The sequence below is a fragment of the Homo sapiens genome, chromosome 16 (assembly GCF_000001405.40).
Source record: "Homo sapiens chromosome 16, GRCh38.p14 Primary Assembly".
NCBI classification, from domain to species: Eukaryota; Metazoa; Chordata; class Mammalia; order Primates; family Hominidae; genus Homo; species Homo sapiens.
This window is the reverse complement of record NC_000016.10, coordinates 63,056,444-63,071,789: the sequence shown is the minus strand read 5'-3', so window position 1 is coordinate 63,071,789 and position 15,346 is coordinate 63,056,444. Positions and strand designations below refer to the sequence as shown.

The window sequence follows — 15,346 nt, the reverse complement described above, 5'->3', positions numbered from 1 at the left end:
ACTATGTGAAGAATGAAAGTAGATCCCTATCTCTCATCATACACAAAAAATCAAATCAAAATGGATTAAAGACTTAAATCTGAAACCTGAAACTATGAAACTACTAGAATAAAAGTTTGGAGATAATCTCTAAGGCAGTGGTCTGGGCAAATATTTTTACGTAACAGCTCAAAAGCACAGTCAACCAAAGGAAAAATACACAAATGGCATTACATCAAGCTAAAATGCTTCTGCAAAGCAAAGAAAGCAATCAACAAAGTGAAGAGACAACACACAGAAGGGAGAAAACACATGCAATATATTCACCTGACAAAAATAGTTATCAGCATACATAAGAAGCTCAAACAACTCAATTGCAAATAGAACAAAGCTCCAACTAAAAATGGGCAAAAGATCTGAACAGACATTTCTCAAAAGAAAAAAAAAGACATACAAATGGCCAACAGGTATGTAAATAAATGTTCAACATCACTAATCATCAGGGAAATGAAAATCCAAAGCACAGTGAGATATCATCTCACCCCAGTTTAAATGGCTTGTATCAAAAAGGCAAATAATGGATGCTGGCAAAGATGTGGAGAAAAAGAACCCTCAGACACAGTGGGTGGGAATGTCAATTAGTGCAGCCATGATGGAGAACAGTATGGAGTTTTCCCAAAAAACTAAATACAGAACTACCATAAGATACAGAAATTCCATAACTGAGTATATATTCAAAAACAAATCAATGTGTTAAAGAGACATCTGCACTCCCATGTTGATTACAGCACTATTCACATTAGCCAAGATATGGAATCAACCAAAGTGCCCCTCAACAGATGAATGAATAAAGAAAATTCTATATGTATATATATACAAAATTGAATAGTATTAAGCCAGAAAAAAGGACAAAATCCTGTCATTGACATCAACATGCATGTAACTGGAGGCCATTATGTTATGAGAAGCCAACCACAGAGAGACAAATGTCGCATGTTCTCACTCATATATGGGAGCTAAAAAGTTGAATTTCACGAAGATGGAGAGTGGATCGGTGACTGGGAAATATAACAAGAGCAGGAGGGTGAAGCGGGAAAAATATATAAATGTGTTTTTTACTACTGAACTGTACACCTAAAGATTATAAAGATGGTAAATTGTATATGTATATTTTACCTCAATGAAAGAATAAAGAATCAAAGAGGAAATGCATATATAGCCACAGTTTCGGACACAGTACAACATATTAGTGTCCCACATAAGATTTTTATACTCATGATGGTAGAAAATAAACAACCCACCAAAAACCAATATTCTACACATTTTGTTGAAAAAAACAATGGACAAATTACAAGCAAAGGATATGCAGAAACCCGATAATTATATTCAAGGAGATGCTGAAGTTAGGCCAGAGATGAGAATCTAAGATGGTATCTGAGAAATTTGGTAATTTATTGTATAAAAGTAGCAAAACTTGGGAATTCAGTTTATAAAAGTAGCAAAACAAGATGAGAGGGCAGTGTGTTCCCAAGGCCTTGCAAATATATGTATAGTATAATTATTTGGGGTTTCTTTTCATCTTTTCAAAGTAAGATAAATATCCCACAAACACTGCTTCTTTCTGTTATTGTATCACTTACTGGTGATTAAAACATTCTTTACTAAGGTGTTTAGGAAGGCTATGAGTAGTTATAATCTTGGAGATATTCCCAACTCTTCACAGATGAAAGATGTGTTCTCACCATGTTACATCTATGAACCCAACCTGGTGTGAAACTCAGGACAAGATCCAGTACCAGTAGGATCCTGTTGATAGTGTTGAGATTCAGAATAGAGCAAGAACCCAGCCACAGCTGGTAAGAAGAGTCACCACAGGCAAACTCCTCATTAATGCTGCTTGTAATCACAACACATTTAGCAGGCCAGAATAGCAGACTAGAAACATAATGTAAGCGTAGAGCCAATATCATTGACCTCCCAAGGAAGGAAATGGAGTTGGCATCTCACTGTATATGGTGAAGCCAGCCTTGTACTAAGCACCCAGGGAGCAAGTAAGAAAAGCTGCAGTTAAGCTATTTCCCATGCACTATTTCAGAAGTCCCTTTACTATCCCCTCTGCCTAGCCACCTTCGCCACCTATTTCTCTCAAACCTTAAAAGCTCTAGGGAGACAATGCAATATCCTGAAAAAATACCTGTGCTTCTGAAAGTGTGTTAAACTCTTAGCTCTTTCATTTACCAAATGCAACTTAACTTGGGCAATTTAAATATCAAATATCAACTTCCTCATCTTCAATTTCCCTATAACATTACTCTGAGAATAAGTAAATAAATGTTTGGTTTTCTTTTTTTCTAAGATTTAATAATTTAAAAGTAAATTATTTTTGAATTGCTACAATATCCAAGTTGTTATAGGTTTTATTTAACAACTGCACAGGGGTTCAGATTAACAACCCAGAACCTTCATAGAATAGATCTTGGTATGTGTCTGAACTATTGTGTGGGCACTTCCCATGTCTCCTCTCTCAGATACACGTGCCTGCATTGTTCCCTCAAGCCTGCATCCTAAATCACTTTACAGCAAAGGTCTTCTATTCCACATCGTGAACCACTGCAACATGCATTTTAATGCAGCATGGTTGCACTCTCCAAGATTAATTTCTGACACTGGCAATAACCGAGGTGTCAATTCCTGTTAACAATCTACGCCTTGGCAGATTTTTGTCAATCCATTAATAATGTGTGTAATTGATAGCAACAGAGAGAGGCCACTGCTATTAATTCACTGCTGATTACTGATGCTTATTAAGGATGATAGTAGTGGGTTTTTTTCCTGTCAGTCAAATTGTGGCTTTTCAAAATTAGTTGTAGTACATAAGGAAAAGAACACAATATTAAGTTCTAAAAGTTGATTCATATTTAAATTAGCCACTCTTTAGAAAGTATTTGCTCTACACTAGGCAATAGACTATCTACTTTGCATTAATTATCTCCTTGCATTTTTACATTGACAATTTGAGACATGTTTCACTCTCCTATATTTCAGTTACTTGCTAAGGATCAAAGCATAAATAATATTTAAGATTCAAGAAGAGATCCTGGGGACCTTCGAAAAATATAGGGCTACATTTTAATTTATTGTCCAAGGTCATGTAGATTTACTAGAAACAGAGTAATCCTCATCCAGTAGTCTTTAACCAGAAACCTCCATAACTTCTTCCTTGATGGCAAATAGAACTTCACACAATAAAGGCAAATAAGGGATACTTTCTCAGCCTCCCTTGAAGTAAGGCATATTCACATTAACATGTGAAAAGGATTTTAGAAATTCTGTTGTAGAGAAAACATTCTGATGAAGTTTAACCCAAGTTTTCTCACAATTAATGGATCAAGAAACACCATTGTCATATGACACCAATAAATATCCCACAAAACTGAGATTCTGGATTTCACCCTTTGAAAAAGATTGTTGTCAATCCATGAGATGATAAGGAGCAAAATCACACTAAGGTGCAAAAACCACATACACATCTAGTTTAAAATCCAAATAAGTAAAACATCTAAAGTTGTCACTGTGACAAATTTTACAAATCATGAGGCTCAGAACATTTCTGTAAGAATAAAATTCTCTTGTTTAAAAGAAGCTTCAGAGCATAGAATTGCTTTTTAGACCAAATATGTATCTGTTGTGGGAGACAGAAAAGTCTCTATGAGAATAAATGGAGTTCTACAGTCAGAGAGGTTTGAACTCACATCCTGGCTGTTATGTGAACTGGGTGGCTTCCAAAAAGGTACAGTACTGTTCTGAGCTTCATTTTTCTTTCTCTTCTGTTTTTTTTTTTCCTCTTAAATAAAGCTTTAAGCGTTCCAAATCATTGAATTACTGAGAAGATTAAATGAGGGTAAAACAATCCTTGATACATACCAACCATCCAATAAGATTTGGCTGCAATCACTACTTGTCATCATCAGTGACTGTAACAGAAGCATGAAGACCATAGCAAAGAGTCTGGATACAGTGAAACAAGAAATCGAGAGCCTTGTTATTTCCTGCCTAAGGTAATGCCATGAGAAACAAACAAACAAGCAAAATCGTATTTTATAGAGCTGAAAAAAATCATTTATTTAAGGAAAATAAAGAAGACGAGGAGAGGAGTAAGGATTTGACGGGGGGAATGGAGACAGGCCAGGCAGAAATAAGAGCTTGGATTACATTTTTAATAGCCTAAAATATGGAAAGAAATGATTGAGGTTGATATATTGCAGACCTGTTTTCTTCTTTGACAGAAAATTCCTTAAGATTCTAGGATGCAAAGATTGGCAGTCAAATTCATTCAGATGTACAGACTTTATTCTTTTATAAAAAGCCATCCCACTGATATGCTTATAAAAGCAGATATACATTGTAGGGACTGTTGTGAAATTGCCAGGCTCTTGTGGTCTCTAGTAGCTCCATTTGCATGCTAATGAAACCAGAGGCCAGATGCCACTAATTACAACCCAGTCACTCTGTCCAACACCCCACAACCAACTGCCAGTGAATGGACCTTGTCATTCCATTATGCAAATGATACTTAGGAAGAACAGGAATAAGTTCTAAATAGTGGCAACCAGAGCCATATATTGGCAGGAGGTAAATTAATAAATATATTCAAGAAATGGAAATTAAAAATTATTATTCAACAGTAGATTAATCATGGCTGAATAAATATGGAACAGAACAACTTTTTTTTTTCTTAGTGTTCTGAGCAATCGAATGAAACTTTCAGTAACTTATTAAGGTGTAGTAAATTGTATTTCCAGAAATCATCCATCAGGTTGCTAAAGGGTTAAGCATTCTTAACACACTCAAGTGTTTTTTTTTTCTGCATGAGACAAACAAACAAAATCCTTAAGAGTGTTTTTCTTGGGTTACAAAGTTATGTTAAATAAAAATAAAAATGGAGGGAAAACCTTTGCTTCTGAGCCAATGGCCCACACCAGCTCAAGAAAACTTATAAAGACCGATTCTGGAAATGTCAGAAATGAAGCTTGAGCTTTATTTCCTTGTAAGCATGACTCAGCACATGCAGACAATCATCTATTACCTACGTAACCTGCTCTGATCATCCTAAAAGGAAAGATACTGTAAAATAACCAATGAGAATCAAGATGTATGAACTTCTTTTTTTCCGTTTTTTAAACCTTAACTATAACCTTTAGGAGATGAGCTTCTTGCCATTTTCTATTTTGGAGTCTCTGTTCTGGAATAGTGTGTTCTCAATAAAATATTCATGTCAAGTAAAACACTCTGACTTTTCTTTTGACAATTGTTATCTCTAAACTACAAGTCTACAGCAAAATACCTAGGTAATAAGGAGGAAAAAAGACATCAAAATGTTTGCTCTTAGTGGTTTTTGATATCAAACTTTTTCAAGACTGTCTTACGTATGACCTGAGATTTTTTAAAAGTAAACATCAATAGGGAGGTAATTTATAGAAATGAAACAAGATGGGTCAGGAGATCAAACATCTGTGTTTAGATTACAGGTAAATCAATTGTTACTTGGGAAAGTCACTTCAATTTTCCAAGCTTTACTTCTCCCCTCTCTTAAATAAAAATGCCAATATCTACTCATAGTCTAATTGCGTTAACTAAATGGGATAATGAATTGACCTCCTAGCCCTGTGCCTGCAACATGATAGCTGTTCATGTAACAGTAGCTACTATTTTGCATACATATTTTCAACTTTTCTAGACCTTCCTCCTGGACAAGCTGTGTGTCTCAACATACTTGAGCCTCTGTTTTCTGTGTGCCAAGTAAAAGCTTTGAACTCAATGCTGTCTAAGAGCCCCTCTTGTTCTTGGTAGTTAGAATTACATGGAGTCAATAAAGAGAAAATCAAGGAGTACTTGAAATCAAGACCATTCAAAACAGTGTTTTCTGAAAAGTGACTTGCCTGGAAGTGCGTTGAACACAGCAGTCAGTTGTTAAGTTTAGGAAATCATCTTCCCTAAAGATTGCCTTAGGAGGGTTATATGAGCAGAGATCAGTCTCCCTAAGGCAATGCTAGTATCATGGCATCATTTTGCATGAAAATCACAGTGAGAGTTTAAAATATATTTTCCACATCTCTATTAGCAGCCTGTTTCTCTGAAAGAACTTTTCACAAGCTCTCAATTGATTGTGCTCTTCATTTTGTGACCATATACTTCCTGTTTTTCTAGCAGTTTCTGATGGTTTGCATTCTAACCGATAATTAAGGCAACCTGTTACATTTTTAACCAGCTGTGATGAATATATTATGTGTTGTGACATTTAACTTTTACAATTCACAAATTAAGGTTTTATCAGACCGGGTATTGTGATCATATTCTCAGAGAACTTCCTTTTGTCCCCAACCTACCTTACTTCTAATAGGGCTAAGAATTCTTACTCAGAGAGGTTCCTTTAAAACAATTATAACTAATAATAGAAAGTTGAATGAAATTTCCCATCCCTAGGAAGATTGGCGGTTGGCAATTAAGGTTTGTGTTGGCTTAGGTGATTCATTATGCCAGCCATCCCATTCAGTCTTCACAAGAACATCAACGCATAGTAGGCACTCAGCAAGTACAGACTGAACAGACAACTCCATGAAATATGCAGATGAGGGTCAGGTGTGGTGGCTCACACCTGTAATCCCAGCACTTTTGGAGGCTGAGGTGGCCGAATCACCTGAGGTCAGGAGTTCTAGACCAGCCTGGCCAACATGGTGAAACCCTGTTTCTGCTAAAAATACAAAAGTTAGCTGGGTATGGTGGCACACACCTGTAATCTCAGCTACTCGGGAAGCTGAGGCAGGAGAATCACTTGAACCCAGGAGGCAGAGGTTGCGGTGAGCCAAGATGGCACTACTGCACTCCAGCCTGGGCAACAGAGCGAGACTCCATCTTAAAATAAATGCAGATGATGTATTTTCAGACACTAGAAATAGGACTTAGTAATGTTAAATAATTCCCCAAGACCATATGTTCCCTAAATAGGAGAATTGAGATCCAAACCCAGATCCCCTTGATTTCAATTTCTATCAAGGATGTTACACCAGCTCTGCTATTTCTGAGCTTCCTCTGTGTCTTATTTTTCTTCACTTTAGAACAATCTTTGGCTTGCCACCAGCAGGCAACTAAGTTTAAGTGTTTTTCAAAGCTTCTCTACTCTGGTGAGAATTTGCTTAAGAAATGAATCCATCACTCAACACAAGGAAACTTAAAACAACAACAAAAATATCTTGCATTATAGTAACTAGGACAGACAGCAAGTAGTGATTCACAGGAAGTATTTATTTGATGCTAAAGGAGGCATTTTAAATGTAGACTTACTTTGGAAGTTAGTATTTCCAGCACCAAAGAGAAGCTAAATAAAAAGGCTCCAGTACACCACACCTGGGCAGAGTGATGCATAGAGATAGGGAAGAAGATTAGCCAAAGATTGCAGCAGCCTAAGAATGAAGGCAGACAAAAAAAACTCAAAACCACATAGAATGAGGCATTCTCTTAGAAATAAGTGATTAGCAGTATTTTTCAGAACACATTAGAATAAGACTGAATATCCTTAACTCACAGAAAATAGACTCTCAAGGTAAATTATGAAAATGTGCTAAAATAATATAGACTTTGAAATTAATGGATTTTGGTACGAATACTAGCTTCATTTTTAGGAGTGGTGTGGATTTGATCAAATTATTTAATGTCTCTGAGTTCATTTCTTTGCATTGAAATGGAGATGATAATATCTAATTCAGAGTTATTGTGGAGATTAAATGAGATATTGCATGTATAACTTTGTGCCACATGCCTAAAACATCAATAATGTACACTAAATATTGACTGTTATTCATATCGTAGTAAGAGACTGAGTAATAACAGAAAATTTATGCCAATAACTGTTTTGTACCAAAAATATACTATATTTGCACAAGAGACAATGAGTAGAAAGAAGGAAAAGAGGAAACCAAAGAGAATCTTGATAGAGAAATTTTATTTTTGTTGGTCATTTTTGGATGGAAGTAGAAATATACCAGCCATGAAGTAAAATCTGAATATTGTCAGGGAAGTTTTCACAGAGGAGCCCTAAAAAGGCATAAGCACAAACCTGGAAAACAAGGTACAATTACTGACAGAGGATGTTCTCTGTACTTCGGAAAACCCGGTGTGTACCTCAGTTCTACCTCTGTAGTTCAGTAGCTGTGCAATCCACCACAAAGTAGATAATCTTTGAGACTCTATGTCATGATCTATAAAATACATGTAATGTACTATCTACATTATAATTTGGCCATAAGTTTTGATTAGGGTAATGTTTATAAAGCCCTTAGCACAAACATTGGTACATAGTAAGTGTTGGACAGGTATTAACTAATTTGATTATAAATTATTAACATGAAGTTGGGTAAAATTGTAGCAATCTATGGCCTTGATTCTTTCAATTCCAGCTTACAAATGGCAAAAGGCTCTCACTGAGAATTTCCAAACACTTTTTAGGATCTGTTCATATTTCATGGGTGCTGAGAACCAATCTCCCATGATACTTTCACAGCTTAACAATTCCACTATAAATTGGAATTTAGTCCTTTGTGATCATGGAGTAACCTTGGAAGATAGCTGATTTCAGAAGCAAAAATAAACTCATGTTTAATAAATCAATCAGGGCTGTGTTTCTAAGATCATACCTGAGAGGAAAGAGGACCCTTTGGTTCCAGCAGCCTTATCAAGGGCATTGTTGTCCACTTAATGGAAATGTAATTGCTCCTCATTCCTCTTTTCTCATTAAGTCAATCTCACGGCTTGGATGCCTCATAGTAGTGATCTACAAGTTTATAAGTAAAAGTGTCTCTTGCTGAGCTGAGAGGCTGCTAAAGCCCAGATGTATTGCTCACTCCTGAGTGCTGTATGTAATCCTCACATTAAATAATGTGCAAAAACTCCCAGGAAGCTGTTGGTTTTGAAGGCACAAAAAACAAAGGAAAAATTTTTACCCCATACCTTCACCCTCTACAGATGACAGCTCATGGAGCAACTATCCAACTAGAAATGTTAATAACTACCTTCTCTCCTTTTACCAGCTGTGTTTTACATACATTAGTTAATTTAATCCTCATTACTAACAATGCACTAATGATCATCTCCATTTTATGGATGAGGGAATTAAATCTCAGAGAGGTTAATTGACTTGCTCAAGGCCACACAGGTGGTAAATGTCTATGCCTAAAAGCCTATGTTGTCAGGTTTTACATGCTTAAATAAGATTGTCAGGAGCAGAGATACCTATATTTCAGAACAGGGGTTGGCAAACATTTTCTGCAAAGGACTTCACCATAAATATTTTAGGCTTTGCATGCCATTTGATGTCTGTTTCAACTACTCAACTCTGCCTCTGTGGGGTGAAAGCAGCTGTAGACAATACAGAAATGAATGGCTTGGCTATGTTCCAACAGAACTTTATTTATAAAAACAGGCAGTGCGCTGATTTTTCCCATAGAATGTAATCTGTGAATCCCTGTTATGAAATATTAAGCTACTTTGGGGGAAACTGGTGATTCAATGATAGAGGCAGGAGGCAGAGAAACTCTAGGCAGATTGGGATGGGTCCCTGGCAAAACCCCACCTTTGAGCTAAGAAGCCTGAAATCCATGGTCCAAAGTAAGAACTTCTATCCCTGTGTGCCTGCTCTCTACCAATTGGTTCTTTCTCGATAATGTTTTTTACCAATCAAATGTTGCCTTTTCCAAAGCTACCTGCGGCTCACCCTGCCCCCAACCTGTGCCTATAGAGACCCCAGACTCAGCTGGCACAGGGGATAAGTAGCTGGATGTAGGGAAGGAGCAGCTGGATATCGGAGAGAGGCACCTTGACTTCAGAGATGGGGGCTGGATGAGGCAGAGGTAGCTTGACTTCAGGGGAGAGTGAACTACCCTTCACGTCCCCTTTCCAGCTCCCCTCTCCACTGACCACTGCTTTCATCACTCAGTAAAATTCTCCACGTTCACTATCATTCAGTTCATCTGAGTGACTTCATTCCTTTGGGGCACCAGACAAGAATTTGGGATGTGTCAACTGCAGGTACCTAAAAAGGCTGTCACACTGTCCCTTTGCCCTCACTGGCAAAGGGCAGCCACACCAGGCAACGAGGCAAAGGGTCCACTGAGTTGATAGCACACTGCTGTCTGTCTGTGGATGGTGGAGCTAAGAAAGCATTGTAACATGCCCTCTGGGGCCTTGGGGTCATAGGCGTCCCCACCTGGAGGCTGCTGTGGGACTTGCATGGAGCTCGCTTCTGACGACACTAAAGTGGCCAGTTCCTGCACTCGCTTGCACGCTCCCTTCCACGAGGGGTGGAGAGCAATGGACCTGAGTGAGCAGAGTTTGCTCCTGCCAGTACCAAAGAGGCTGGCTGATTCCCGCACTCATTCACTCACACGCTACCCCCCAGGAAGGGTCAAGCAGGGCGGGCTGAGTAAACAGTGCACCTGTTGCAAGTCCTATGAAGGCATCCAGAAAATACTGTGCATCACTAGGATTCTAATTATGATTGCCATTAACCCTTTACCTGACTTTGGGCAAGTCATTGTACTTTGGAGGACTTTAATTATCATCTATAAAATAAGTTAAATCATTTAATGTTTCTCAAAATGTGGACCATAAATCAATAACACTAATAATATGTAGGCTTCCCAACAGCAGAGATTTAGCTGTTTTGTTTAATGACAAATCTCCTGGAACCTATGAGAGTGTCTGGCACATGAAAAGTGCTCAGATATTGGTTGTATTAATAAACAAGCTAAGTGAAATAATATGTGTACTAGATTTCAGACCATAAGATCAAACACAAAGTAACTGCTCTGCCATGGACTGTAGTCACCATTAGTAGCTTCTGGCATCCTCATCTATTTAGAGTGACCATTCACTGTGTTGTCTAAACCACACCATTCTTGGAGTAAAAAGATCACTATTAATAATTACAGCAGGACAACAGGCATTACCAAGGCCTGGCCCAACTATACCGGACCACAAAGCCAGTTTGTATCTGTTTGTACTCCAGGTTAATTTCTACCATGCCCCCACACACCTTTGTAAAAACCACTGAAGCTTTCCAGCCTTTGCACACCCAGACACTACCTTCAGAAGGAGCGCTAGAAAGATGAAAACTGAACGTTTTAGCATTTACCTATAAAAAGGTGAACTACTTGAAAAGCACATTTTACAATCAAAAGTAACTACAATACTTTTAATTAAGAAGTTAAAAATCACTTCTTTTCCATACCCAATAATAAAGCAGGATGCTTGCTCAATAAAGCAAAATAGGTCAGTTATACAAAGTCAAGAAGATGCATTTACTCTTCTCTTCTGAGTACTAATATGTAAATTTCTAACCCTTTGCAGTTCTTTCTGGCTGTAAGTCTCTGATGTTGGCAAGTGACAGACCCCTATGGCCAATGAATCACAACTTAAATGAGTACCAAGTTCCCAGCTGATATGTGAAAAGGAGCTCAGTGAGAGGTACTTATGTCCTTTGTGTACTTAAAATATTGCCCTTAATGAATAAGTCCGTGTGTTCATTTTTATTACAAAAGTAGCAGACCTATCTTACTTTCAATATTACAAGGACAATGCTTGCAAAGATGAACAAAGGACGTTTAAAGATACAGGGTCTGAAAGCTTCCGAAAGCCACATAGTGAGAGATATTAAAACAAGTTGAGAGAATTTGATGTCAAAGGCAAGATCATATCTGAAGCATTTCTCAACACTGTATAAAATGCAAAAACAAAGAGAAACAAAACTCCTTGGAGAAGTTTCTGCTCAATACGCAAGCCACCGACCCTTAGCGAATGTTCCCAATAGCAATCAATGAGCCCCTAACAAGAGCTGGAAGGACTGGGGCAGTAGGAACAACACAGACCATTTGCTCTGATTCAACGATTTTTATGAGCACCATTAAGTGAAAATGGGCAAGTAACTCTGTGGCTCAGGGCAAAGCCCCCACAGCGATGTGATGAAAAATCTTGGCAAGAACCCATGAAAGAGAACCCTTCAAATCAAATCAAACAAATGCGGATCTACTAGGAGGAAGGGCCTTGTTTTTCATTTAAAATAATCTTTTAAAGAGTAGACAATAATCCAAACACCTCTGGGTTACTATATCTTCTAGGAGAATACTGATTTTGATAAAAATATTTAAATCAAAAATTTTAGGTAATTTTACCTTCAAATAGCTTAGGCACCTTAGACCAAAGTTTGCACATTCTACAAATATTGACACAATAACACCATTTTAAATCTTTACCCACCATTTGTTGGGTTATGTCAAATGTAACTCAGGATAAAAAGTTGTTCAGATAAGTGATTGGTACAATTGGAATTTATAGATTAAAAATTTGTTACAAGGAATTAAAAGTTTTTCTTACCTAACCTCTCAATAATTTTCCAAAGAAAATGTGTGATGTGTCCCTTGCTCTGCCCTTCACTCTAGTGTTTTATTTTGCATCATGGATGCATTTCTTTTAATTTTCTTCATATAACTCTTCACATGTACTCTTGAGATTGCATATTGCTTCAACAATCCTTGCCCAGCCACTAACTTCTTTCTTAAAATAATTTTCCTGCCCCCCTTCCTTCAACAGTAATCAATGTCTACCACCGCCTCTATTAATTCTGCCACTGATTTTGTGATAACTCTTCACAAATACTGAATGATGTAACTTGAAGGCAGTTTTTGTTGTCTGAATCTGCTTGATGCCAGCTTATGGTTGGCTATAATGCTCAGAAATAGAAGCAATGATTAGACAATACAAAGAGATACTAGTTTAATGTAAGGAAGAATATTTTCATCCTTATCACTTACTGTATTTACTTTATATTCCACATTACAAGGAGCCACTTCAACATGAACACCAAGCCATCTTAAGTTTATTAAGATCCTAATAATGTTTAAGCATTGGTTATGTGAATATAGAATGATGATCCCACTTTGGATTTTACATTCAAGTATAAGAAATATCTATTAATCAACTTCTTTCAGGAGTGTTACAGATGGTAGAGTCTGTTTCAACTTTGGGTGCAGGGCTTAACACATTCTTTAACACAATAAATCAACATTACTGAGAAACAAAGTAATTATAAGAACTCTTCTAATTCTAGGAATCAATGATTTTATATCAATCATATGGAAAGAGGTAAAAGTGCATGCTTCATGTTATGTTACTTTCTTTTGCTTGAGAATGCTAAATTTGTAAAACTATATAATATGACATACTTGTGACTGAATTGTAAGAGATTTTATCTAATATTGCTTTAGAATACAGAAGTAATTGTTTCAAAGGATAAAGGATGGAAGATTCTGATAAAGCTTGCTTACTTTTTGGGGGAAGGCGTGGGGGGAAATGTCTCAGTGCCCAAGGTCAGTGGCCTTCCTGACTGAAGACTTTCCCAGAGTAGAGGATAAGAGTGGGAACAGGAAGAGCAGTTTAAAGTCATCTTCACAACATTCTGGTGAGTGACTGATTGCTTCAGCAGCAAACAGGCACATGGTAAAAATATTGGTAATGTGAATTTAGTGTTGTTACTGTCATTTTTTTCTTTATTAACTATGATTTTGCTTACAGATAGCAGTCAGAGTAGTAGTATATTGATAATAATGAACCTCTTAGGGTTGCTGGTTTGGTGTTTCAAAGTTTTTCAGTTATCCATATTAAACTTTTAAAGATATCTTGTGTGAAAATTCATTTCAAATTACATAGAATTAAGATACTATGTTATTTAGGATAGACAAATTAAGTGTGTTTGTCATGATTCTATAAATTGATCTTATTTGCTATCAAATATTTTAATTCATGAATGTAGTGTGATAAAATTTGTTAAAAATAATAGGCACACATATTTTCATTGTATTTAAATTGCAATCTGGCCTATTCAAAATTAACATAGATTGATTTTGACCAAAGAGGTCTAGAAAGCAAGACCTTTTGTAAGAGAAGTGGAAAACAGAGTCATTTCTTAGTTTCATTCCACTAACCAAGATGAAGCTGGGTCACAGATTGCTGTAGACATTTTTAAGTAACTCCGTGGATCCCTCTCCTTCCACCCACTTTTCTCTGCTATATTCACAGATAATTCTCTACATATTTATCGTTTGGGAGGGAAAATGACTCTCCAAGAGTTAACTTCAATTACACATTGGTGGGCAGTAACTGTGCTGAGTGCCAGTCAGAACTGTATGTCAAAAATGCCACCTTCTCTCTTATTAATGCTGACTTAGCAAAAACAGAGGGAATTTAGGGCAAGTCAGAATTCTTGTTTCATTGTCCTATTTTCAGTAAGAGAAGGAATTTAGGACAACTTAGAATTTTTTCTCCTGCCCTATTTTATTGCACGTATGTTTATTCATATTCAGCAAAAAGAATCCCAATTTTAGCCTTTGTTGTCTTCATGTCCAAAAAGTATTTTCCCAATTAATTTAATTTTTTTATTTTAAAATTAATATATCTGGCTAAAGACATTAGAAAAATTATATCAACTGAACAAAATTTTTAAATGACTCATAGTTCCACCGGCAAAGGAATAAACTCGGCTTTGAGTAAACTCTTGAAATGTTCCTTTGAAATATGCTTAACCTTTAATGTTCGTTTGATTGATTGTGATTCTAATACATATATAAGTTTGCTTCTTTATTATTCATTTTTATATCACAAACTCTTTTCATTATTATAAATTTTATGGTAATAATATGTTAGATAATTTCCAACCTATGGTAGGAATGTCCCTAGTTTATTTGACCTTTATGTGGTAAACATTCATTGTCTTTTAAAGTCTTGTGTATTACAATGATACGTTATTTCTAATTTTTATCTCCCCTCCATTTGTATTAATTTAGCAGAAAATAAACTTCCAGAAATAAAATCAATTTGTCAAATTTTAGGAATATTTATAGGCTGAAATGTAGAGCATATTGGGATGCATATATTGGTTGGAATTTAGAGAGAAGTAAAAATAAAATAAAAATGATTCTGATTCTGTACATATACGTTCTAACCCTATCACTTTAACTTATTTGACTATAATACCGTGCTCCTTCTCTAAATAGCATATCATCAAAATGTAATGCAAACACGCATTTCCAATCTTGTGACAATGTAGATTCTGCTTCATTCGGTCCGGGGTAGGGTCTGGGAATCTGCATTCCTAACAAGCTCCTGGAGTATGACTGAACTAATACACTTGCCCCAGAGTTCCTATTGGAACCATAGTGCAAAAGATCTTCCATAGCATGTGAATACAGGATGTATCAATATTTTTCTCCATGCAGTCAAGATTTTACACGCCCTTCTACCCTGTCTACATTATTAAATCTAT

At 36.5% G+C, this 15,346-nt stretch overlaps 1 long non-coding RNA gene across 2 annotated transcripts in view; it reads left to right on the top strand.

The window, feature by feature from the left end:
- LOC105371307 (uncharacterized) overlaps positions 1-15,013 on the top strand; it is a 41,921-nt gene extending 26,908 nt beyond the window's left edge. The window contains exons 3-4 of one of the 2 annotated variants that reach the window (XR_933665.3): positions 3,835-4,037; positions 11,380-15,013. This is a non-coding gene — a long non-coding RNA (uncharacterized LOC105371307). Of the gene's footprint in view, positions 1-3,834; positions 5,265-11,379 lie in introns of those variants that run through there. The other variant, XR_007065219.1, reaches the window with a different exon arrangement.
- Positions 15,014-15,346: the final 333 nt, after the last annotated feature.